The sequence below is a fragment of the Homo sapiens genome, chromosome 3 (assembly GCF_000001405.40).
Source record: "Homo sapiens chromosome 3, GRCh38.p14 Primary Assembly".
Classification (NCBI taxonomy): domain Eukaryota; kingdom Metazoa; phylum Chordata; class Mammalia; order Primates; family Hominidae; genus Homo; species Homo sapiens.
The window spans coordinates 163336094-163361872 of record NC_000003.12 but is presented as its reverse complement, the minus strand read 5'-3'; the positions used below and the strand labels follow the sequence as shown (position 1 = coordinate 163361872).

The window sequence follows — 25779 nt, the reverse complement described above, 5'->3', positions numbered from 1 at the left end:
CCTCACTGTGTCTTCTGTCTGCTTTTAGGACTATAGTTAAATGTGTGTCAGAATGTTTGAATGGTCTGAACCACATGTGTCATAAGCTCTTTTTTTCCTTTTCTCTGTTTGTGATCCAGCTTACATGCTTTTTTTTTTTTTTGAGAGGAAGTCTTGGTCTGTCGCCCAAGCTGGAGTGCAGTGGCGCGATCTGGGCTGACTGCAAGCTCCACCTCCAGGGTTCACGCCATTCCGCCATTCTCCTGCCTCAGTCTCCTGAGTAGCTGGGACTACAGGCGCTCGCCACCACTCACGGCTAATTTTTTTTTTTTTTTTTTTTTTTTGTATTTTTAGTAGAGACAGGGTTTCACCGTATCAGCCAGGATGGTTTCGATTTCCTGACCTCGTGATCTGCCTGCCTCGGCCTTCCAAAGTGCTGGGATTACAAGCGTAAGCCACCGCACCCGGCCCAGATGTTCTCTTTTGACACGTATTTTAGTTCGCCAGTGTTGTGCCCTCCCATATCTAATCTGCTCTTGCCAGTAGTCCTTGCCAGAAGTTCTTAATTCCATATTTTGCATTTTTAAACTTCTATTAATGTCAACTTTATACATTTTTATATTCTAGAACATTGTAGAAATTCTATTCTACTTTGTCTAGCTTGCCTACTTTTTCATCTATTTTCTTCATTTCTATTTTCATCATTTTTGTTTTCTTTCTCTTGAAGATATTTTTTATTTTAAACTTGCTTTTCAAAATAAAATATCACAATATGAAAATTTAAACGAGGCCACAAAAGAAAAAAAAATACATTGAATTTTCAGCTACCACTAGCATAAGAATTCTTCAGATTTTTTTTTAATTTAGAAAAATCTCTGACAACCAGAAATTTAACCAAATAGTTAAACAAATTCTCTCCAATTAGAGCAGCTGATTTCTCATTGGTTAATGTAAAAACAGAAGTTATTATATTTAGATGTAAGCAAAGCATGATTCTTTTTCATGAAATTTAATTCCATTTGGAATTTAAATAATTTGATCCTTTCTTCAATTTAGCCTATATATCTTAAACTGAATATCACTAACAGTTTCCATATGTGACACTTTATTCTCAAAATATAAATTTGCGTTCACTTCATCTAAAAATGGTAAATCAGGAAAAAAAGACACAGTGGGGCCTATGTGCATTTTACTTAGGTGCCAATCACTTTCACTGATTGAAGAAGATATGCAATTTTGACGGTCTACCTAGCACTAGGTAGTAAAAAGTCCAAAGCCTAATGTCTAGAGACTGCTTTGTATTTTTAAAATATCTCACCCAACTTGATTCTACTTCATGTAAAGTTGATTAGCACCATTTATATAACTAATAATAATTCAAAGGAATATATTATTTATACCAATTGGCCAATGAGCAGATATTAGTGTCTCAGAGTATGAAGCTACTTGAACTAATTTTAATTCTTTAATATTATGTATCTGTCATCAGTACTCAAAATATTCCACTCTTTGTGAATACTGCCTCTCCTTGCATTGCCACATTCTATGATTATTCTGAAATTCATTGTAGGTTATTTTCAAATTGTCATACTCTGTTCTTCATGTCTATTGTCCTCTTTTTCAAAAGTCAGTAGTTTTCACCTTTGTATAATATCTTCAGCGATATTCTCCAATACATACAATTTTCTCTTTAACTCTGTCTAGTGTGCTAATTTAACCTAACGACTACAGTTTATTTTAATGATAATATATTTTATATCTGCCAAAATTAGACTTTGTAATTATGTTCTACTTTTTCATTACAAAGTCTCTTCTCTGTTTAAAAATTTTTAATTATTTAAAATTATTTCACATTTAAAAAAAATATTATTATATTATCCTAATTTTGGTGTGTCGTAATCTTTTTTGATGTTTCACCTAATTCCTTTTCACGTTTGATCTCTCTTTTTGTCTGTGTGAGTATATTTGTAATTTTAATCATGATCTTTGATCAGAGGCATTTTGTTTTGTAGAAGTTCCTTGCAATCTTGGTTTAATATTGTTTATATATAACTTTGATGTTTCTGTCTCCATTACCTCAGAAATCTCACTGGACTTCTAATTTTTTAACATTATTTCTAAAATGGAATACCTTTTCAGTTAATAAATGTGTATTGTGGATTATTAGGTGGAGTTTTGTAGATTTTTTTCCCTACTCAGAGCTTGAAGCATAGGTAAAATTTTCTACTGATACCTTTTTTTTTAAGTCTTTTTTTTCCTTTTATTTCATGGACGATGTAGCCCCTTATTTGTCCCACTTTTATTCAGATGATGTCACTTCCAGCTCCTTGTCTTCAATATTAAATCTTCAATACAGTTTTTTCCACCTCGTTATAAAATCTTCAGTCAGTAACCTTTAGACTCTCTGTCCCGTACTGGCACCTATTTAGGTTACTATTACATCACCTATTTAGGTTACTATTACATACCTGTTAGCTGTACTAATCTGGCTTTTAGTTTTTAATATTTTTGGTTATTCTGCAATTTTAACTTTATTATTCAGTTGCTTGATTTTATTTTTTTATTATTATTATTATTTTTTTAGACTGAGTCTCGCTCTGTCACCCAGGCTGGAGTGCAGTAGTACAGTCTCATCTCACTGCAACCTCTGCCTCCTGGGTTCAGGTGATTCTCTTGCCTCAGCCTCCCTAGTAGCTAGGACTACAGGCACGTGCCACCACCTGGCTATTTTTTTGTATTTTTAGTAGAGATGGGGTTTCACCGTGTTAGCCAGGATGCTCTCAATCCCGACCTTGTGATTTGCCCACCTCGGCCTCCCAAAGTGCTGGGATTACAAGCATGAGCCACCGGGCCCGGTCCTGATTTGTTAATGTTATATTTTACTAGTCATTCTTGTTGAAAGATAAAGGAGGTTAAATCTACTTAGTCATTTTCTTGCTATTTCAGTTTAGTGACATTCAAGCCGTGACACTTGGTCTATGTAGTATTTTCTCTGCATTACTTTCTCCCATAATTAAGACTCTAAGCCCAGAAATTGAAAATTGTCAATATAATAAAGAAAATTCATCTTGCATCTGGTCATTGAACATTCTGCACTCTTTTATCTGCAAAAAAATCACATGTTGGTTATGTTCTTTCCTATCTTTATTGCACTCCGTTTGATAAGCAGCTTTTCAAAGTGCTCTCTAGTTTTCAGTCTTACATGTCTTGCTGATTCTTCCTCCATTGGTTTTCTATTCATTGGATTTATTATCTTATTAGGAGTCCTGGAAATAGGTGCAATTTTACATTTCTTCATGCAGTACCTGAATATTCTGTAAGGTAGTCAAAGATGTTACTCTAAACAATACAAGCTCTTTCACAAATTCACTCTCTTGTTTAATAGTGTTTCAAGAACATTAGTTTGTGAATGAATATAGGGGTTCCACTTTGAAGAATTAGAGGGAGCAAGGGACCCTTTTGCATTAGATCCTCCAATTTATCAAACATCGTATTGTATCAAGCATTGTATTGTATCAAGCACTGTATGGTTGCCCAGAATTTCTCCTCTTAAGCCATATGAATTTATGGATGGCTCATTGTTTAACATTATTGAAGTGAGTCTGTGTAGTAAATCACAGGAATACTTTGTTTAATTCTTAAGAAATCCTTGCCACATTTGAAACAAACCATTCTTGCTTATAGCGTATTTCTTATTAAAATCTGCTGTATTTGATAAATCATATATTTTTTCATGTATATCTGAAGCTGAGAGTTTATAGTTTGTTCGGAGAAAGGGAAAAACAACATATTTTGTTGTTTATCCACCATATTTTGTATTATGACCACACTAGGACAAGAGAATGATTTGTGGGCTTTCTATCATTTTATTTGCTCTGAAACAGGTTAAATAATATTTAAGCTATCTATCAACAAATTTTCAGAGGCTTATCTAGTCCATGCAATTTTTTTTTTTTTTTTTGAGGTGTAGTCTCGCTCTGTAAAATAGTGTGTTCTTGGCTGGCTGCAACCTCCACCTCCTGGGTTCAAGTGATTCTTGTGCCTCAGCCTCCCGAGTAGCTCGGATTACAGGCACCCACAACCACATCTGGCTAATTTTTGTATTTTTAGTAGAGATGGGGTTTCACCGTGTTGTCCACGCTGGTCTCTAACTCCTGACCTCAGGTGATCTGTCCACCTCAGCCTCCCAAAGTGCTGGGATTACAGGCACGAGCCACTGCGCCAGGCTTAGTTCATGTAATATTTTATAAATAAATTTGTGTTTATTTTAAAATTTATGTAAGATAACTGATGGAGATATGTATGGCAAAAGGAAAAAGATATTTATCTGTGATTGATAGTATTATGAATGGTATTAATTTTCTCCCATATGCAATTTTAAATTTTCTAAATAACACATAAATAAATTGCTTATTTTTCTCTTGAATTAGTAAGAGATAATTGGAACTTCAATTGTGAAAGCCAGTATTTAAATAAAAAGTAAAAAGATGAGGGACTAGAAGAAACCTCAGTTTTATTTCTACAATAAATTGCCACCTGATATATTTGAATTCTTACTCAAACTAACCTTGATGCAAAATTAGCTGATCATCAATAGGCAGCTTTCTATACTTTGCTCATAAAGCTTAACACATAACCAAACAATTTAGAGTTCAGAAAGAAGCCAATTAGTTTCAAACAATTTCATGGACAGACTGCCTTCTCAAGTGGGTCCCTGACCCGTGAGTAGCCTAAATGGGAGGCAACCCCCAGAAGGGGCAGACTGACAGCTCACATGGCCGGGTACCCCTTTGAGACGAAGCTTCCAGAGGAATGATCAGGCAGCAACATTTGCTGTTTAGCACTATTCACTGTTCTTCAGTCTCCGCTGCTGATACCCAGGCAAACAGGGTCTGGAGTGGACCTCCAGCAAACTCCAACAGACCTGCAGCTGAGGGTCCTGACTGTTAGAAGGAAAACTAATAAACTGAAAAGACATCCACACCAAAACCCCATCTGTACATCACCATCGTCAAAGACCAAAGGTAGATAAAACCACAAAGATGGGGAAAAAACAGAGCAGAAAAGCTGAAAATTCTAAAAATCTGAGCGCTTCTCCCCCTCCAAAGGAACGCAGCTCCTTGCCAGCAATGGAACAAAGCTGGATGGAGAATGATTTTGATGAGTTGAGAGAAGAGGCTTCAGACAATCAAACTTCTTCGAGCTAAAGGAGGAAGTTCAATCCCATTGCAAAGAAACTAAAAACCTTGAAAAAGATTAGACAAATGGCTAACTAGAACAACGAGTTTAGAGAAGTCCTTAAATGACCTGATGGAGCTAAAAACCATGGCACGAGAACTACGTGACAAATGCACAAGCTTCAGTAGCTGATTCGATCAACTGGAAGAAAGGGTATCAGTGATTGAAGATCAAATGAATGAAATGAAGCTAGAAGAGAAGTTTAGAGAAAAAAGAGTAAAAGGAAATGAACAAAGCCTTGAAGAAATATGGGAGTATGTGAAAAGACCAAATCTACATCTGATTGGTATACCTGAAAGTGATGGGGAGAATGGAACCAAATTGGAAAACAATCTACAGGATATTATCCAGGAGAACTTCCCCAGCCTAGCAAGGCAGGCCAACATTCAAATTTGGGAAATGTAGAGAACACCACAAAGATACTCCTTGAGAAGAGCAACTCCAAGACACATAATTGACAGATTCACCAAAGTTGAAATGAAGGAAAAAATGTTAAGGGCAGCCAGAGAGAAAGGTCGGGTTACCCACAAAGGGAAGCCAATCAGACTAACAGCTGATCTCTCGGCAGAAACTCTACAAGCCAGAAGAGAGTGGGGGGTCAATATTCAACATTCTTAAAGAAAAGAATTTTCAATCCAGAATTTCATATCCAGCCAAACTAAGCTTTATAAGTGAAGGAGAAATAAAATACTTTACAGACAAGCAAATGCTGAGAGATTTTGTCACCATCAGGCCTGCCCTAAAAGAGCTCCTGAAGGAAGCACTAAACATGGAAAGGAACAACCGGTACCAGCCACTGCAAAAACATGCCAAATTGTAAAGGTTATCAATGATAGGAAGAAACTGCATCAACTAATGAGCAAAATAACCAGCTAACATCATAATGACAGGATCAAATTCACACATAACAATATTAACCTTAAATGTAAATGGGCTAAATGCTCCAATTAAAAGACACAGACTGGCAAATTGGATAAAGGGACAAGACCCATCAGTGTGCTGTATTCAGGAGACCCATCTCACATGCAGAGACACACATAGCCTCAAAATAAAGACATGGAGGAAGATCTACGAAGCAAATGGAAAACAAAATAAAGGCAGGGGTTGCAATCCTAGTCTCTGATAAAACTGACTTTAAACCAACAAAGATCAAAAGAGACAAAGAAGGCCATTACATAATGGTAAAGGGATCAATTCAACAAGAAGAGCTAACAATCCTAAATATATGCACCCAATACAGGAGCACCCAGATTCATAAATCAAGTCCTTAGAGACCTACAAAGAGACTTGGACTCTCACACAATAATAATGGCAGACTTTAACACCTCTCTGTCAACATTAGACAGATCAACAGGACAGAAAGTTAACAAGGATATCCAGGAATTGAACTCAGCTCTGCACCAAGCAGACCTAATAGACATCTACAGAACTCTCCACCACCAAATCAACAGAATATACATACTTCTCAGCACCACATTGTACTTATTCCAAAATTGACCACATAGTTGGAAGTAAAGCACTCCTCAGCAAATGTAAAAGAACAGAAATTATAACAAACTGTCTCTCAGACCACAGTGCAATCACACTAGAACTCAGGATTAAGAAACTCACTCAAAACCGCTCAACTACGTGGAAACTGAACAACCTGCTCCTGAGTGACTACTGGGTACATAACGAAATGAAGGCAGAAATAAAGATGTTCTTTGAAACCAATGAGAACAAAGACACAACATACCAGAATCTCTGGGACACATTTAAAGCAGTGGGCAGAGGGAAATTTATATCACTAAATGCCCACAAGAGAAAGCAAGAAAGATCTAAAATTGACACCCTAACATCACAATTAAAATAACTAGAGAGCAAGAGCAAACAGATTCAAAAGCTAGCAGAAGGCAAGAAATAACTAAGATCAGAGTGGAACTGAAGGAGATAGACACACAAAAACCCTTCAAAAAATCAATGAATCCAGAATCTTTTTTTTTTAAAAAGATCAACAAAACTCATAGACCACTAGCAAGACTAATAAAGAAGAAAGAGAGAAGAATCAAATAGACGCAATAAAAAATGATAAAGGGGATATCACCACCGATCCCATAGAAATACAAACTGCCATCAGAGAATACTATAAACACCTCTACACAAATAAGAAAATCCAAAAGAAATGGATAAATTCCTGGACACATACACCCTCCCAAGACTAAACCAGGAAGAAGTTGAATCCCTGAATAGACCAATAACAGGCTCTGAAATTGAGGCAATAATTAATAGCCTACCAATCAAAAAAAGTCCAGGACCAGATAGATTCACAGCCGAATTTGACCAGAGGTATAAGGAGGAGCTGGTAACATTCCTTCTGAAACTATTCCAATCAATAGAAAAAGAGGGACTCTTCCTTAACTCATTTTATGAGGCCAGCATCATCCTGATATGAAAGCCTAGCAGAGAAACAACAAAAAAAGAGAATTTTAGAACAATGTCCCTGATGAACATTGATGCAAAAATCCTCAATAAAATACTGGCAAACCAAATCCAGCAGCACATCAAAAAGGTTATCCACCATGATCAAGTGAGCTTCATCCCTGGGATGCAAGGCTGGTTCAACATACTCAAATCAATAAACATAATCCAGCATATAAACAGAACCAATGACAAAAACCACAGGATTATCTCAGTTGATGCAGAAAAGGCCTTCGACAAAATTCAACAGCCCTTCATGCTAAAAACTCTCAATAAATTAGGTATTGATGTGACGTATCTCAAAATAATAGGAGCTATTTATGAAAAACCCACAGCCAATATCATACTGAATGGGCAAAAACTGGAAGCATTGCCTTTGAAAACTGGCACAAGACAGGGATGCCCTCTCTCACCACTCCTATTCAACATAGTGTTGGAAGTTCTGGCCAAGGTAATCAGGCAGGAGAAAGAAATAAAGTGTATTCAATTACGAAAAGAGGAAGTCAAATTGTCCCTGTTTGCAGGTGACATGATTGTATATTTAGAAAACCCCATCGTCTCAGCCCAAAATCTCCTAAAGCTGATAAGCAACTTCAGCAAAGTCTCAGGATACAAAATCAATGTACAAAAATCGCAAGCATTCTTATACACCAATAACAGACAAACAGAGAACCAAATCATGAGTGAACTCCCATTCACAATTGCTTCAAAGAGAATAAAATACCTAGGAATCCAACTTACAAGGGATGTGAAGGACCTCTTCAAGGAGAACTACAAACAGCAAAATAAAAGAGGACACAAACAAATGGAAGAACATTCCATGCTCATGGATAGGAAGAATCAATATTGTGAAAATGCTCATACTGCCCAAGGTAATTTATAGATTCAGTGCCATCCCCATCAAGCTACCAATGACTTTCTTCACAGAATTGGAAAAAACTACTTTAAAGTTCATATGGAACCAAAAAAGAGCCTGCATTGCCAAGACAATCCTAAGCCAAAAGAACATAGCTGGAGGCATCACGCTAACTGACTTCAAACTATACTACAAGGCTATAGTAACCAAAACAGCATGGTCCTGGTACCAAAACAGAGATATAGACCAATGGAACAGAACAGAGCCCTCAGAAATAATATCACACATCTACAACCATCTGATCTTCGACAAACCTGACAAAAACAAGAAATTGGGAAAGGATTCCCTATTTAATAAATGGTGTTGGGAAAACTGGCTAGTCATATGTAGAAAGCTGAAACTGGATCCCTTCCTTACACCTTATACAAAAATTAATTCAAGATGGATTAAAGACTTAAATGTTAGAGCTAAAACCGTAAAATCCCTAGAAGAAAACCTAGGCAATACCATTCAGGACATAGGCATGGGCAAGGACTTCATGTCTAAAACACCAAAAGCAATGGCAACACAAGCCAAAATTGAGAAATGGGATCTAATTAAACTAAAGGGCTTCTGCACCACAAAAGAAACTACCATCAGAGTGAACAGGTAACTTACAGAATGGGAGAAAATTTTTGCAATCTATTCATCTGACAAAGGGCTAATATCCAGAATCTACAAAGAACACAAAGAAATTTATAAGAAAATAACAAACAACCTCATCAAAAAGTGGACAAAGGATATGAACAGATACTTCTCAAAAGAAGACATTTATGCAGCCAACAGATGAAAAAATGCTCATCATCACTGGCCATCAGAGAAATGTAAATCAAAACCACAATGAGATACCATCTCACACCAGTTAGAATGGCGATCATTAAAAAGTCAGGAACCAAAAGGTGCTGGAGAGGATGTGGAGAAATAGGAACACTTTTACACTGTTGGTGGGACTGTAAAGTAGTTCAACCATTGTGGAAGACAGTGTGGCAATTCCTCAAGGATCTAGAACTAGAAATACCATTTGAGCCAGTCATCCCATTACTGGGTATATACCCAAAGGATTATAAATCATGCTGCTATAAAGACACATGCACACGTATGTTTATTGCGGCACTATTCACAATAGCAAAGACTTGTAACCAACCCAAATGCCTATCAATGCTAGACTGGATTAAGAAAATGTGGCACATATACACCATGGAATACTATGCAGCCATAAAAAACGATGAGTTCATGTCCTTTGCAGGGACATGGATGAAGCTGGAAACCATCATTCTCAGCAAACTATCACGAGGACAAAAAAACCAAACACCGCATGTTCTCACTTATAGGTGGGGATTGAACAATGAGAACACTTGGACATAGGAAGGGGAACATCACACACTGGGGCCTGTTGTGGGTGGGGGCAGGGGGGAGGAATAGCATTAGGAGATATACCTAATATAAATGAGGAGTTAATGGGTGCAGCACACCAACATGGCACATGTATACATATGTAACAAACCTGCACGTTGTGTACATGTACCCTAGAACTTAAAATATAATAATAAAAAAAGTTTTTCTATAATGTGTTTCACCATAAGAAAATAAATGATACAGTATATAAGAGTTCAAAGTATAAAAATCACCAAGTAGTAAGTTTTAGCATGATTAGCAGGCTTATTAAAGTTAAACGTCACTGGGATTTCTTATTATTCTATATTATTTGGAATATTTCTGTGTTAGAAATTAACTGAGTTAGAGTTTCCATGTTAATTAGTGAATAACTATTAAGGATCATCAAATAAAATAAATACAAAACACATCTGATCTTTATTAGTACCATACAAAATTGTACATAGTTTGAACATTAGTCAGTTTAAAATAAAGATGTATTTAATGTTAGTATAGTCATGTTGCAAATAATTGAAATGAAGTTTTCTGTGAATTACAAGATGAATATTTTTCATAACAATCTTATCTAACTAATGTTAAGTTAAATAACTATTCTTGGCTGGGCGCAGTGGCTCATACCTGTAATCCCAGCACTTTGGGAGGCCAAGGCAGGCAGATCACGAGGTCAAGAGATCAAGACCATCCTGGCCAACAGGGTGAAACCCCGTCTCTAATAAAAATACAAAAATTATCTGGGCGTGGTGGTGCATGCCTGTAGTCCCAGCTCCTCGGGACACTGAGGCAGGAGAATCACTTGAACCTGGAAGGCGGAGGTTTCTGTGAGCCAAGATCATGCCATTGCACTCCAGCCTGGGCAACAGAGTGAGACTCCATCTCAAAAAAACAAAACAAAACTATTCTTTATACAGTAACAATAGCAGTTGGCCAAATCATTCAGTTTTAGGGAAATGACATAAAAATCATAGTTACTGCTCTTCTCAAAGAAAACATTTTGCCTTTAAAAAGTAACGTCTTATAATCGTTTTAAATTTATTGGAAAATTGATGTAGTACAGAGAGTTCACATATGAACCCACACTCTATTTTCATGATTGTTGACAGTTTATTTTAGGATGGAATTTTTCTAGGATATATTAATACATCAATATTTATGCATTATCATTCAGCAAATTCTGTATGCTATTCAGATTTCTTCAGTTTTTGCCTAATACTCATTTTCTCTTCTAGGATCTCATTCAGGGTATCTGGTTAAATTTTTTTAGTTGTCATGTCTGATTCAGGCCCTTCTCACTGTTCTGGCTTCTTAGATTTTCCTTATTTTTGATGACTTTGATTTTTGGAGCAATAAATACTGGTTAGGTGTTTTGTAAACTATTTCTCAAATTGGATTTTCCTATTTTTTTTAATTAGACTATGGGTGTAGTTTTCCAGAGAAATAGAACCAATATGGTATGTATATATCTGTGTGTGTGTGTGTGTGTGTGTGTGTGTGTGTGTGTGTATAGATTTATTTTATAAAATTGACTCATGCAATTATGGAGACTGGTAAATCCAAAATCTGCTGAGCTTATGCCCCAGTTAATTTCAAAGCTGAAATCTGCTGTAGAAACAGGAAAAGCTTATGCTCCAGTTCAAAGGTCAGTAGGGTGAAAAAGTATCTTACTTGAGAAGGAGTTAAACTTTTGTTCAATTCAGGCCTTCAACTGACTGGATGAAGCTCACTGCCATTATGGAAGGGGGTGGAAATTTTTATTTTATGGATTTTTATATAAACATAAATTTTCAACTCATATGATTAAATACCCAAAAGTACGACTGCTGAATCATGTGGTATAACTGTTGGACTTTGTGAAAAGCTGACAAACTGGCTTCCAAAGTGTGATACTATTTGTTTTAACCAGTCTACCCACTTAAATGTTAATCTCATTCAAAAACACCCTCACAGAATAATGTTTGAACAAATATCTGGACACTCTACAACCCAGTCAAGTGAGTATATAAAATTAACTGTCACAAAATTTTAGGGAAAACAGACCATAGAAGCGCCATTACTATTACATCATAACAACAGCATCTTCTGTCAACATGACATTACTTTTTATTTTAACCTTGATCATCTGGCTGAGGTAGAGTTTGTCAGGTTTTTCATTGTAAAAAATACTTTTTCCCTCATTCCATACTGCATTCATTTGAGGTAAGACACACAGTGAAGGCCACACTTAATTAGTGGGGAGTAATGCTCTATTTCTTTGAGAGTAAAGTATCTACATAAAATAATTGAAATCCTAAATAGGGAATTTTTGCTGTTCTTCCCCATTTATTTCTTAATTTATTTTTGTTGTTTAATTATTTATTTATTTTAGTATGGACTCATGGACATTATATGCTTTGGGTTATAATTCAATACTATATTTTGTTGTTCAAAATTTTCCATTTTGGTTGCTTGAAGCTCTTTCAGTTAGCTTTTGTGTCTTTTTTACACATTATTTTAATGTTTTAGAGGACTTTCTTATTTCCTGGAGCCACAAGATGCTTTAACCTTATTTTTGTATATTTTGTTTCCCAGTCCTAGAATTAGCTCTCCCTAAAGAGCCCTAGTTCATTTTATTGGAAAACAGTATTAGAAATCACGATTTACATGTTAGGTGTGTGCGTTGCTACAAGAATATTATTCTTCTAGCCCTCTTCTTGTTAATGGAGGAAAGTAATATGTTTTAAAAGTTAGTATAAATGCGTTTACACTAACTTGTGTGTATATGCATACATGTAAATATTTCTATATGCACTCATCTTTATCTATATTAAGCTTAACATAGGTTCTTACTGATGTATCAAAATCGAATATAACACATATTCTAGCTTTCTAATTAGCAGTAAATTTCTACACCAATGGTGAGAAACATGTCTGCTAACATCTACCATCAATTCAATTAATTGTTTAATTCCATCATACACGTATAATGGTTCCAATATTTTTAACCAGTATTCTGCTGATAATCATTATCAAATAGGGCACTGTGCTTAAGCACATTTCATTCAGACTTTTTATTCATTGCACCATTTCCAAAGTTAGTTAAGCCAGCACACTATCACGTCAGTGAGATTTTTAAATATATTTATAATACAGTTAGTTTTTTTTTGTTGTTGTTTATTTGTTTGCTTACCATTCTAAATCACAACCTGTGATATTCCAATCTCCTGTGTTTATAAAAAAAATTTCACTCTTTATGTTATAAAGCTCTATGAGTTTTGACAAATGAATAGTGGTATCTATTCACCATTACAGTCTCACACAGAATAGTTACACTGCTCTAAACGATACCCTGGATTTTACCTATTCAACTATTCCCCACCATTTACCTCTGGCAATCACTGATTTGTTCATCCTCGCTATTGTTTTGCCTTTTCCAGAATGTGATATAAATAGAATACTACAGTATGCAGCCTTTTCAAACTGTTTTTTTTAGTTAGCGATATTCAAATAAAATTATATTTTTTCAGGGCTTGAGAGCTATTTTTAATTATGATTACTAAACAGTACAACATTGCATGGACATACCACCGTTTGCTTTTGCACTCAACTTCATTGAATAATATCTTGGCTTCTTCTATAATTTGATATTTATGTAAAATGTGTCTAATATTTGTGTCATGATTTTATATAAACATAAATTTTAAACTCAGTTGATTAAATACCCAAGAGTTCAGTTGCTGAGTCATAAACTGGCTTGCAAAGGACCATAATATTACCAGCAACGAATGAGAGTTCCTGTTGCTCTGAGTCCTTGCCAAGAGCTGGTATTGTGGTATTACCAGTATTTTGGATTTTAACTATTCTAATATGCGTGAAGCAATAGCTCGTTGTTATTTTAATTTGTAATTCTCTAAGGACAAATTCTCTAAGGACAAAAGAATATTTTCATATGCTTATTTGCCATTGCATATTTTCCTTTGTAAGGAATCCCTTCAGATGTTTCGCTAAATTTTTAATTAATTTGTTTTCATACTGTTAGGTTAGGAATGTTTTTGGATTTTGGATTCAAGTTATTTAGCAGATAAGTATTTTTAAAATATTTTCTTCCAGTCTGTGGTTTGTCTTTTCATGCTCTTGACTTCTTTTTTTTTTTTTTTTTTTTTTTTTTTTTTTTTTTTTTTTTTTTTTTTGAGATGGAGTCTCGTTATTGTCGCCCAGGCTGGAGTGCCATGGCACAATCTTGGCTCACTGCAACTTCTCCCTCCCAGGTTCCAGCAATTCTCCTGCCTCAGCCTCCTGAGTAGCTGAGATTACAGGCGCGCACCAACATGCCTGGCTAATTTTTGTATTTTTAGTAGAGACGGGGTTTCACCATGTTGGCCAGGCTGGACTTGAACTCCTGACCTCAGGTTATCCACCCGCCTCAGCCTCCCAAAGTTCTGGGGTTACAGGCATGAGCCACTGCGCCCAGTTGACTGCATCTTTTACATACTTTAATTTTTAAATTTTACTAAAGTGCAAACTATCATTTTTTAAGTCATGCTGTTAGTATTATATTAAAAAAGTATTTACTCAACCATTGGTCACATGGATTTTCTCCTCCTTTTTGTAAAATGCATTATTGTTTTGCATTTTATATTTGGCTTTGAACCAATCTTCTGTTATTTTTTGTATAAGGTATCTCAACTCTGTAATGTTTAACTAATTAATGTGTGTATTTTTTTGTGAATATCTTTCTGTCTTGAAAACTGTAGATTTACATTAAGTATCAAAATAGGGTAATTTGAGTCTTCTTTTTATATTCACAAGAATGGCGTTGATTATTGTACATCTTTTGCTTATCCATAGAAACTTTAGAATCAATTCATCAATATCTATACTTGTCTATTAGGATTTTGATTGGAAAACATTCAATTAGAAGTCAAGTTGGGAAAAAATGTTATTACAATATTGAGACTTCTAATTCATGAGCATGATATAACTCTCCTAATTGCAATAATTTTTAATTTCTTTCATAGGCATTCATAGTTGTTTCTGTATAGATCCTATACTTATTTTTGGTAGATTTATTCCTATTTCTTTTTGTTAAATGCAATTGAAAATTGTAGTTTTAAAATTACAAATTCTTTTGTGTTTATTGCTAGTATATAGGAAAACAATTGAACTTTGTATATTGACCTTGTTTCCCTCAGTCATACTATGCTTTCTTATTTTTTTCCACGTGGGTGCTTTTCTAAATTATTTGGAATTTTCTGCATAGACACTCATCCCATTTGTGAACCGGGAGGCTTAAAAAATTTTTAAATAAACTGTATTTTTTAAAAAGCAGTTTTAGACTCATAGCAAAATTGAGCAAAAAGTGGAATTCTCATAAATCCCTTATCTCCACACATGAAGTCCCCCCCATTGTCAACATCCTACACCAGAGTGGTACATTTGTTGTAACTGATAGACATCATTATTACTTAAAGTCCATAATTTACATAATTACCTAATTTACATTAAAGTTTGCTGTTGTATTTATTTATTTTTATTTATTTTTTTTTTTTGTAATTTACAAATGTATAATGACACATACACACCATTATAGCATGATGCTGAGTGGTTAAACTGCCCTAAAAATCCTCTGTGCTTCTCCTATTCATCCTTCCTTCACCTCACCCCCTGGCAACCACTAATCTTTTTACTGTCTCCAGAGTTTTTTTTTTTTTCTTTTTCATAATGTCATACAGTTGCAACCATACAATATTTGACCTCTTCTATTGACTTTTTGTACTGACTAATGTGCATTTGAAGCTTGAAAGCTCATTTCTGTTTAGCACTGAATCATATTTCAATGTATGGCTGTATCACAGTTTCTGTATAATTCACCTACTGAAAGATATCTTGCTTGCTACCAAGTTTTTGCAATTATGAATAAAGCTGATATAAATATACGTGTGCAGGTGTTTGTGTGAACAAGTTTTCAACTTATTTGTGTAAATACCAAGGAACATGATTAGTAATTGTATTATAAGACAATGTTTAGTTTTTTAAGAAAATGCCAAACTGTTTTCCAAATCATTTGTACCATTTTGCCTTCCCATCAGTGATGAATGATGGTATTTCTTGCTTCACATCCTCACCAGCGTTTGGTACTAACTTGTATATTTTAGCCACTCTAACAGAGTGAACAGAGAGTTTTATTTCTTTTTTTTTTCAATCTATGTACATTTTATTTGTTGCCTTTTTTCCCCCCAGACACCTAAGATTGCTGGTACGGTTTAACAACAGTGTTAATAAGCATAGAGGACATCCTTGTCTTTTTCCCATTCTTAGGACGAACACGACCAAGCTTTCACTATCAAGTGTATGAGCTGTACGTTTGACATAGATCATTGTTAATAAGTTGGGTAAGGTCCTCCCTATTCCTAGTTTTCTATTTTTCTATTATGCATCATTATTAGGTCTTTAGAAAATATTTTCTCTGCATTAATGCATAGGATTCTACAGTTTTTCTTATTCAGTCTGTCGATATAGTGGGATGCACTGATTGGGTTTCAAATACTGCAGCAAACGATGTCTTTCAAATATATCTCATTTAGTGGTGGTGTATATTCTAATACATTGTTGGGTTTACATAGCTATTATATTAAGATTGTTTGCATCCATATTCATAAGAGACATTGCTGTTTGTTTTTTTTTTTTTTTACATATTTTTATATTTTGGTATTAGGGCAATGCAGACCTTGTAGAAGGAGATAGGAAGTGGTCACTGTTGCAATTTTTTTTTGACAGATTGCTGAGAATGGCATCACTTTTTACCCTGACATATTTGTTAGTATTCACTGGTGAGCCCATCTATGCCTACTATTTTATTTTTAGAAGATTATTAACCATTGATCTAATTTCTTTATGAGATAAATAGCTATTTAAGTACATTTATCATACTTTGAGTAGGATGTGTCATTGATGGAATTAATCTATTTCATCTAAGTTGAAATTAGCCCACATTTGTTAGTAATCTTTAATTATTATTTTTATAAAGTTCATGAGATTGCTAGCAATGACCCTCATGTTATTTCTGATGTTAGTAATGTGTGTCTTCTCTCTTTTATTTTTAGTTATTCTGGTTAGAAGTTCATCACTTTTACTGATCATTTTTGCAGAATATGCTTTGGATTTTGTTAATTTTCTCTATTGTTTTCTTATTTTCAGCTTCATTGATTTCTGCTCTATTACTTTTTCCAGGTGAAATACTTTAGGTTTAAATTTTTATTTGTTCTTTTCCTAATGTAGAGCTAGGTTGTTGCTTTCTTTTTCTTTCTTATTTTTGTAACCCATACATTTAACATTATTGATTTTCTTTATCAGTGCTTATGTTGCATCCCATGAATAAGAGGTATTTTCAATTATATATATGTATAAAATATATAATTTGTATTGAGAAATTATATATAACCTTATATATACAATATATATTATATTATATGTAATTTTTATTGAGAATTCCTTGACCCGCATGTTATTTAAAAGTGTGTTGCTTAATTTCCAAATATTTGGATATTTTTCAATTTTCTTTCTTTTATTGATTTCTAGTTTAACTTCATTTGGGTATTAAAAAAACAACATGTGAATTCTATTTAAATTTGATGAGGTGTATTTTGTGACCCACAATATGACCTATGAAGGTGAATGTTCCATATGAGCTCAGAAAAAATATATATTTCACTGATGTTGTATTGAGTATTCTATAATTATCAATTGAATCAAATTGATTCATAATGCTATTCAGGTCAATTGTAAACTTTCTGATTTTCTGAAAGTTTAATATATCAGTTACAGAGGATTGTGAAAATCTTCACCTATAGCATTGGATTCTTAATTTATCCTTTCCATTCTGTCAATTTTGCCTCATGTATTTTGGCACTGTGTTGCTGGATGCATATGTGTTTAGATTTATGTCTCTGGTGAATTAACTCCTTTATCATTATTAGTATGTAGTGTCCCTCTCCATTACTGATAATCCTTCTTTTTGTAAAGTCTGCTTTGTCTGGAATTAATACAGCTACATAGCTTTCTTTTAACTGGTCTTATTATCATATGTCTTTTTTTGTATCTTTTGTTCAAAGTGTCTAAGCTTTCTATTTAAAGTCAGTTTTTTGTAGACAACATATTATTTGGTCTTGTTTATTTATTCTATTATTTGTATATTTTGAATATTCCCATTCAAATGAATTATTAATTAGGTGGTTTTAATATCTACCATTTTTGTAAGTATTACTACTTTCTTGTTTTGTTTTTGTTCTTTCTCTCCTGCTTGTATGGTTCTATTTGAACTTTTTTATGATAAAATTTTATCTCAATGTCCTTATGTTCTTAATGTCCAATGTTCTTAATGTCCATTATACTTATTTTATTGTTTTTAGTATATTTTTGACTAACCCAAGTCAATATTCAAATAAATCTTTATCAGTTTAAATGTAGTACAGATAATTCATAATTAATATTGCCAATTTTAGTTTTCCTTTTGTAACGTTTTGTTATAACTTCAAATATATCTCTATTTCATTGTTTCCTCTTTCTCATTTTTAATTGTGTGTCTAGTATCACTTTTATAAAACTGTTATTCAGTTCAATGATCTGTTAATATATTCATTTTTTCCTCTTTGCATTTTGATTCGGCTTGTATCTACTGACCTATATAAAAGCTTACTAATATTTTCCTTGTCTGTTCCATTGTATAATGAGCCATAAAAGTCATTCTTCATTTCTGTTACAACATTCTTTATACCTAGTATTTTCTTTTTAATTTTTATTACAGTTTATATCTCTCTGGCTTTGTTACTTATCTGTTCTTGCATAATGTCTACTTTTTCAATTAGAATCCTTAACATACTAATAAAAGTTATTTAAAATTCCCTTTCTAATCATTCCAATATCTGTCATGACTAAGTCTGGTTTTAATGATTGTTTTGTGCCTTTGGATTGTGGTTTTTAAATTATTATACTTAAGTTCTGGGATACATGTGCAGAATGTGAAGATTTGTTACAGAGGTATACATGTGCCATCATGGTTTGCTGCACTCATCAACCCGTCATCTGGATTGTGCTTTTATTTTACCTTTTGGCATGGCTTTTAAGCATTTGTTGAATTTTGGACATGTGGTATTTTGTACTAAGAACCACGGTAAAAAGGCCTCTAGTATGAGGATTTATGTTAACTTGCCTAGTAATTGGTATTCTTAGCATTTTTAGAGCTGTTGAGAAGGGGCTACATTGTCTGGGCTAAATACCTGGAGTTTGTTATCTTGCGCCAAGAAAATTTAAGACGTGGACACACACGAGGAGATTAGGAGAGGAGGTTTAATAAGCAAAAGAAAGAGAAAGAAAAAGGATCTCTCTCTAGTGAGAGAGAGGGTACTTCCGTAAAGAAAGGATTGGCCCACGGCAGATGTGCCAGATTTCATAGTCAGGCTTGAGGAGGCAGTGTCTGATTTACATAAGGTTCACAGATTGGTTCCATCAGGTATGACGTTTACATAGTGCATGGGGAAGACTGGCTGCCCCACTCTAATTTTATTATGCATATAAATTTTCCCTTTGGCATGGGCCATCTTGTCTGCTCCTTACTCTACAGGTGGCTGACAAAGAGGAGGAAAAAAGGAGCCACCATCTTGAGTATGATTGGCACGACTGCAGGCATCTATGTCTGCAGCTCGAATTTACAAGCTGCTCTGTGTTAGAAGGAAAAATAATTTGGGGCTACTTTTCATTAAAAGGAAAACCTTACCAAGGACTTCCATACCCTCACAATCTACCTAAGTAATTTCTTCTAAACTCCTTTATCAATGGAGTCAGATGCTTCATGTTCCTCACGTTCTTGCTTTTGTCTCCCCTCTTAACTTTGAATTCTCATACATATTACTGCCCACAGAGAGTCTGTGTCATGAAATATATTCAGTTGTAAGGCACTGTATTATGGTAGAGACTGGTTTGTGCAGCAATACAGTATGGGAGAGAGGATGCTCTCTATATTCTTCTAATTCCGTGTCAATCTTTTACCCGGACTGTGTCTTTTGGCTGTTACTTTTACAAGTGTTTCTGCATTTACATAATTTTATTTTTGTTTATTCTACCCATTGTTCCCTACTGGCTTCCCTGGGTGGAGATTTTTCATATTTTCTTGAAGTTCTTCCCTTCACTGACTATTAATTTTTTGCTCCTTTCTCAGATAGGAAAGGTATAGAGGTGGCTAGAGTGAGAGAAAAGCCCTTCCTTGACTCTGATAAGGTTCTAACTAGTTCCCTTTGCAATATAGCCCATTGTTATGAAGCCTTCTCCATATTTCACAATGATTACACTTCTCTTCCATTTGCCAGAGACATGAGTAGGTATTTCTTGATTCTTCCCCAGAAAATCTTGTGAACTTCTAATAGGTAAAGTCCATGAAAGTGTAAGGCCCCCTAAGACCATGCTTCTTGGGACCTTCTCACTGACACACTAGTACACATTCAGTCTCTATTTGTCCAAATTGTCATTTAAATGCTATCAATTTATAGCTCAAGTATTTTCCCTTCCATATAAACAGATCCTAGCTGTTATCTTACTCACTGTTGGCTGTCGTAATATAATGCCATACCCTGGGTCTTAAACGACAGACATTTATTGCCTCACAGTGCTGGAATCTGGAATTTCAAGACCACGGTGCCAACATAATGAGGTTATTGTATGCTTTCTCTTCCTGGCTTGCAGGGGGCTCCCTTCTTGCTATGTCCTCACATGGCCTTTTCTCCATGCAGGCATGAAAGAGAGCGAGAAAGAGAGCTATCTATAAAGCTTTCCCATCAGGAAAGCCCCACCTTCATGAGCTAATCCATTCCTAATTACTGTAACTCCCAAAGGGCCCAAGTGATGGTGAATATTGAGTGTCAACTCGATTGGATTGAAAGATGCAAAGTATTGTTGCTGGGTGTGTCTGTGAGGGTGTTGCCAAAAATAAAAATTAACATTTGAGTCAGTGAACTAGGAGGCGCAGATGCACCCTCAATATGGGTGGGCACCCTCTAATCATCTGCCAACATGGCTAGGATAAAAGCAGGCAGAAGAATGTGGAAGGACTAGACTGCCTAAGTCTTGTCACATCCATCTTTCTCCGTGCTGGATGCTTCCTGTCCTTGAACATCAGACTCCAAGCTCTTCAGCTTTTGGACTTTTGGACCTACACAAGTGGTTTTCCAGGGGCTTTTGGGCCTTCAGCCACAGACTGAAGGCTGCACTGTCGGCTTCCCTACTTTTGAGGTTTTGGGACTCAGACTGGCTTCCTTGCTCTTCAGTTTGCAGATGGCCTATTGTGGGACTTCACCTTGTGATCCTGTGAGTCAATACTTTTTAATAAACTCCCTTTTATGTATACATTTATCCTATTAGTCCTGTCCCTCTAAAGAACTAATATACTTCATCTTTGAATACCATCACAATGGGGGTTAAGGCTTCAACACATAAATGTTAGGATAACACAAATATTTGCTCCATAACAGCTATGCTTTGGATGATCTTGTCTTTACAGATTTCAGGATGGTGGTTTGCCTGGCAAATTCTTCTATCTGTGGGTCTAAAAAAATTCAGTGATTTCAAATTTGTCTACCATTTTCTTATGGTAGGAAAGAAATGAGTATTTCTAATCTGTTTATATATCAGAAATGAAATCATAAGTCAGGTTTGCCTTTCTGTTGCCTCTATTATATACTTGTATTCTATTTCAATAATTTCTGCTCTTACCTTAATAAATTCTTTTCTTCTGCTAATTTGGGTATAGTTGTTATTTTTTTCTAACTTCCTGAGATAGATATCGTAAAATAGAAATACATAGTTTTCAAAGTGTTTTCCTGAAGTTTGTCTGTCAACTTGAATGGACTTTCAAAGGTGTACATACATTGTATAAATTGTATTTTTTCTATTTTTTTCTGTTTGTTTTACAAAGAAATATTTTAAAGTCTAACATATTAGAATTTTTAAAAATCTTTATGTTTGAAGAAGAAGAACAAAGTTACAAGGATTATGTGATTGATGGAGGTGAGAAGTGAAATTAGGATAAAAGTTTTTAAGAGTTTTCTTCAGGTGTATTAATAAATAATTAGAAAAGAAAAACTTGTAAAATATTGGATCTGTATAAAATATTGCGATTTTATAAGAAAGAAACAAGCAATAGATTTTTAAAATTAGGTAGTTGTCCCTGGAATAATAATAAAAACAGTTTAAAATAAGGTAAAAAATTAAAAACATATATAAGACAAAAGTGTATTTATATCATATAACCAACTCTATGTAAATGTGTTCACTATGTAGTTTTAGACAGTATTGCCTCATTCAGAAATAATGATGAATAATAAATACTTAAAGGTATTTCCAATAAAACTTTCAGATTTATATCTATAGAAAAAAATTAAAGCTCAGTCATCTAAATGAGGTGTTTTTGTTTGTTGGTTGGTTGCTTGGGTGAATTGTTTCAAAGAGGGCCTTGCTTTGCCACCCAGGCTGGAGTTCAGTGGCATAATCACGGCTCACTGCACCCTTGAACTCCTGGGCTTAAGCAATCCTCTCACCTCAACCTCCCAAGCAGCTGGGACTACAGGCATGCACCACCATGCCCTGCTGAATTTTTAATTTTTAGTGGAGGCAAGATCTCACTATGTTGCCCAAGCTGGTCTTGAATTCCTGGGCTCAAGAAATCTTCCTGCCTGGACCTCACAAAGTGATAAGATTACAAGCATAAGCCACTATTTCCAGCCATAAGGTTCTATTTCCAACGGAAATGGAACGTTTGCTCCTTAACAACTTTTTATTCTGCCACAAATAAAATTAAATATAACATTTAGCTTCAGTGTGCAGATTCAGACAGTGATATACATGGAGAATGTTTATAAAATCACATTAGCAGTAATGTTCCTAATATAATAACATGGGAGAGCCTTTGGTTTATCTTGAGAAGAGTGAAATGTTACAAATGTTTACCATGGAATGATTGATGGATATGTCTTAGCAAAGTTTGTACGTCAAATGAACATGTCTTAACACACTTTTTCCATTAATTTTCTTATAAAATGTGAAATAGATGCTACTGGCAAACAATTAGGAATTTCTGTGTTCCTAGTCTTATGTAAAAATACAACAACCTTTTTAAAATCACATAACTAAATTAAAAGATAATTGAAACGAAATTCATATTTATTAATAAGCGATAATACAGAGTCAATCATGGCTATAACCACAGATACCCTTTTTCAGGGCATTTAGTATATATTCTTCGCAGTCATATTTCTTCAGATTGGGTTGCTTTTCATTATTCTCACAAACATTTTATGTCATACTCATTCTTATTATCTCCATTTGTTTCTCATATAAGCAAAAAGCCTAGAGAGCATAAATCCTTTGTTTAAGGTAAAATAAGCTGACAAATTGAAGACAGATTCCAAAGTTAGGCATCTTAGTTACTAGGTTACACCTGTTCCAGATACTGCTGAAAACATACAGTGTATCACAGAAACAACAACAAGCCTGAAAATGAAACTATTTTACATGATCAAATTCTAGCATGCTGTTATCACATTCTAGAGATATCATTTATTATTTGGTGATAATAATCCTCAAACAAAACAACCTGAAACATTTTATCTTCATTAAAATTAATATACCATCATGTACCACAAAACAACATTTCAGTTAACAATGAACTACAAATTCAGTGGTGTCATATAAGATTATAATACCCTGTTTTACTGTTCTTTTTCTATAGTTAAGTATGTTTCAATATACAACTATTTATCATTGTGTTAAAGTTGCTTACAGTGTTCATCACAGTAACATACTGTACAGGTTTGCAGCCTAGGAGCAATAGGTTATACCATATAGCATAGGTGTGTTATTGGTTATATCATTTCAGTTTGTGTAGTACAGTCATGATGTTTGCACAATGATAAAATAACCTAACCATGCATTTCCTACAATATATCCTTGTCATTAAGTAATACATGATTGTATTCTCAAAATATATGACCAAGATAATTCTTTCACATTTTTCTTAGAGGTTTATTTCGTTTTAAAAATCTTTTCACAGTGATAGTTTATTTGTAAAACTTAACCTAATGGTTTGCATGGTCCTTTAGAGCATAAAAATAGAATCTGAGATGAAGCTAATACTAACTTGGCTACTACTGATCTGTTTTAATGTTAAAACGTTAAACCAGTTAAGCTGTAGAAAATGGCTTAGGCAGTCATTGGTAATTGAATGCCAAGTTTAATTATTTGATACCAAAAGAGTTTGAACACATATGTCTAACGTAATGTCTTCCAGTTTTTTTTCTTACATCAAGAACATATGAAGATATTCAGTCCTCTAAATATATCCACAGAAGAATAATTAAGCAGATATTTGAAGCATATGGATGTAAATTTTTTTACAAAGCGTATACTTTATCATAAGCCTGTATTAAAATATTTATTTTAACACTACATTTTCTTCATAGGGAATTAGGGAACTGCCCTTTTTCTATTTTGTCTTTTGTTCTGTCTATTTTGAAAATTCAGAGAAGGTTCAGGAGCAATAAAATAGTATAGTTCACATTTATTGGAGACCAAGAAAAACATGATTTAAAAATAAAATAATATAAACTTTGGAAAATCTTAAATTTATTTCTTTCTTTTTCTTTTTATTTTTGTAGAGATGAAATCCCACTATTTTGCCCAGGCTCATCTATAACTTCTGAGCTCAAGACATCCTCCTGCTTTGACCTTCCAAAGTGCTGGGATAGGGGTAAGTGCCCCATGCCCAGCTTAAAGCCATTTTTATGGTCTTCAGGCTGAAAGTGATATTCAGAAGAAGGCTGGGGAAAGGAAAAAATGTCAAACTAATGGCTCTGAGATTATTTTTTAATCCTAAAAAATTCATTAGTTTTGTTTCATCTACCATTAATGGGATACAATACATTAAAGTTTATAATAAAATTTATACATTTATAACTTGATTTATACATTTCTTGCTTTTTATAGAGCTAGTGGTACAGTTTGGCTGTGTCTCCACCCATATCTCAAATTGTAGCTCTCATAATTCTCACATGTTGTGAGAGAGACCCAGTGAGAAGTAATTGAATAATGAGATGGGTCTTTCCCACGCTACACTCATGACGGTGATTAAGTCTCACAAGATCTGATGGTTTTATAAAGGGGAGTTCCCTTGAACACACTGTCTCTTGATTGTGGCCATGTACAACATGACATTGCTCCTCCTTTGCCTTTCACCATGATTGTGAGGCCTCCCCACGCAGGCAGAACTGTGAGAAAATGAAACCTCTTTTTCTTTGTAAATTACCCAGTCTCAGCAGCATGAGACTAATTTATTAGCAGTGTGTGAACAGACTAATACATTAAATTAGTATTAGGTGGTGGGGTGCTGCTGTAAAGATTCCCAAAAATGTGGAAGCAGTTTTGGAACTGGGTAACAGCCAGAGATTGTAACAGTTTGGAGGACTCAGAGGAAGACAGGAAAATGCAGGAAAGTTTGGAACGTCCTAGAGATTTGTTGAATGGCTTTGACAAAAATGTTGATAGTGATATAGACAATAAGGTCCAGGCTGTGGTGGTCTCAGATGGAGATGAGGAATTTGTTAGAAACTGGAGTAAGGTCACTCACTATACAAAGAAAGTGATGACATTTTGTCCCTGCCCTAGAGATCTGTTGAACTTTGAACTTGAGAGAGACAATTTAGGGTACCTCGGGGAAGAAATTTCTAAGCGGCAAGATGTTCAAGAGGGAGCAGAGCATAAAAATTGGGAAAACTTGCAGCCTGACAATGCAGTAGAAAAGA

At 34.6% G+C, this 25779-nt stretch overlaps 1 long non-coding RNA gene across 2 annotated transcripts in view, besides 2 other annotated features; it reads right to left on the bottom strand.

Annotated features, from left to right (window-relative positions):
* Window positions 1-25779, bottom strand: part of LOC105374188 (uncharacterized) — a 76972-nt gene that overhangs the window by 19290 nt on the left and 31903 nt on the right. The window lies entirely within an intron of this gene.
* Window positions 16104-16273: an enhancer, noted in NCBI's record as "experimental_66382 CRE fragment used in MPRA reporter constructs". NCBI's record gives its function as "activates a minimal promoter by MPRAs in K562 erythroleukemia cells, with activity observed for both the introgressed and non-introgressed 3:163063473 variant alleles {active_cell/tissue: K562}" and the evidence as "EXISTENCE:reporter gene assay evidence [ECO:0000049][PMID:34662402]".
* Window positions 24297-24466: an enhancer, noted in NCBI's record as "experimental_66379 CRE fragment used in MPRA reporter constructs". NCBI's record gives its function as "activates a minimal promoter by MPRAs in K562 erythroleukemia cells, with activity observed for both the introgressed and non-introgressed 3:163055280 variant alleles {active_cell/tissue: K562}" and the evidence as "EXISTENCE:reporter gene assay evidence [ECO:0000049][PMID:34662402]".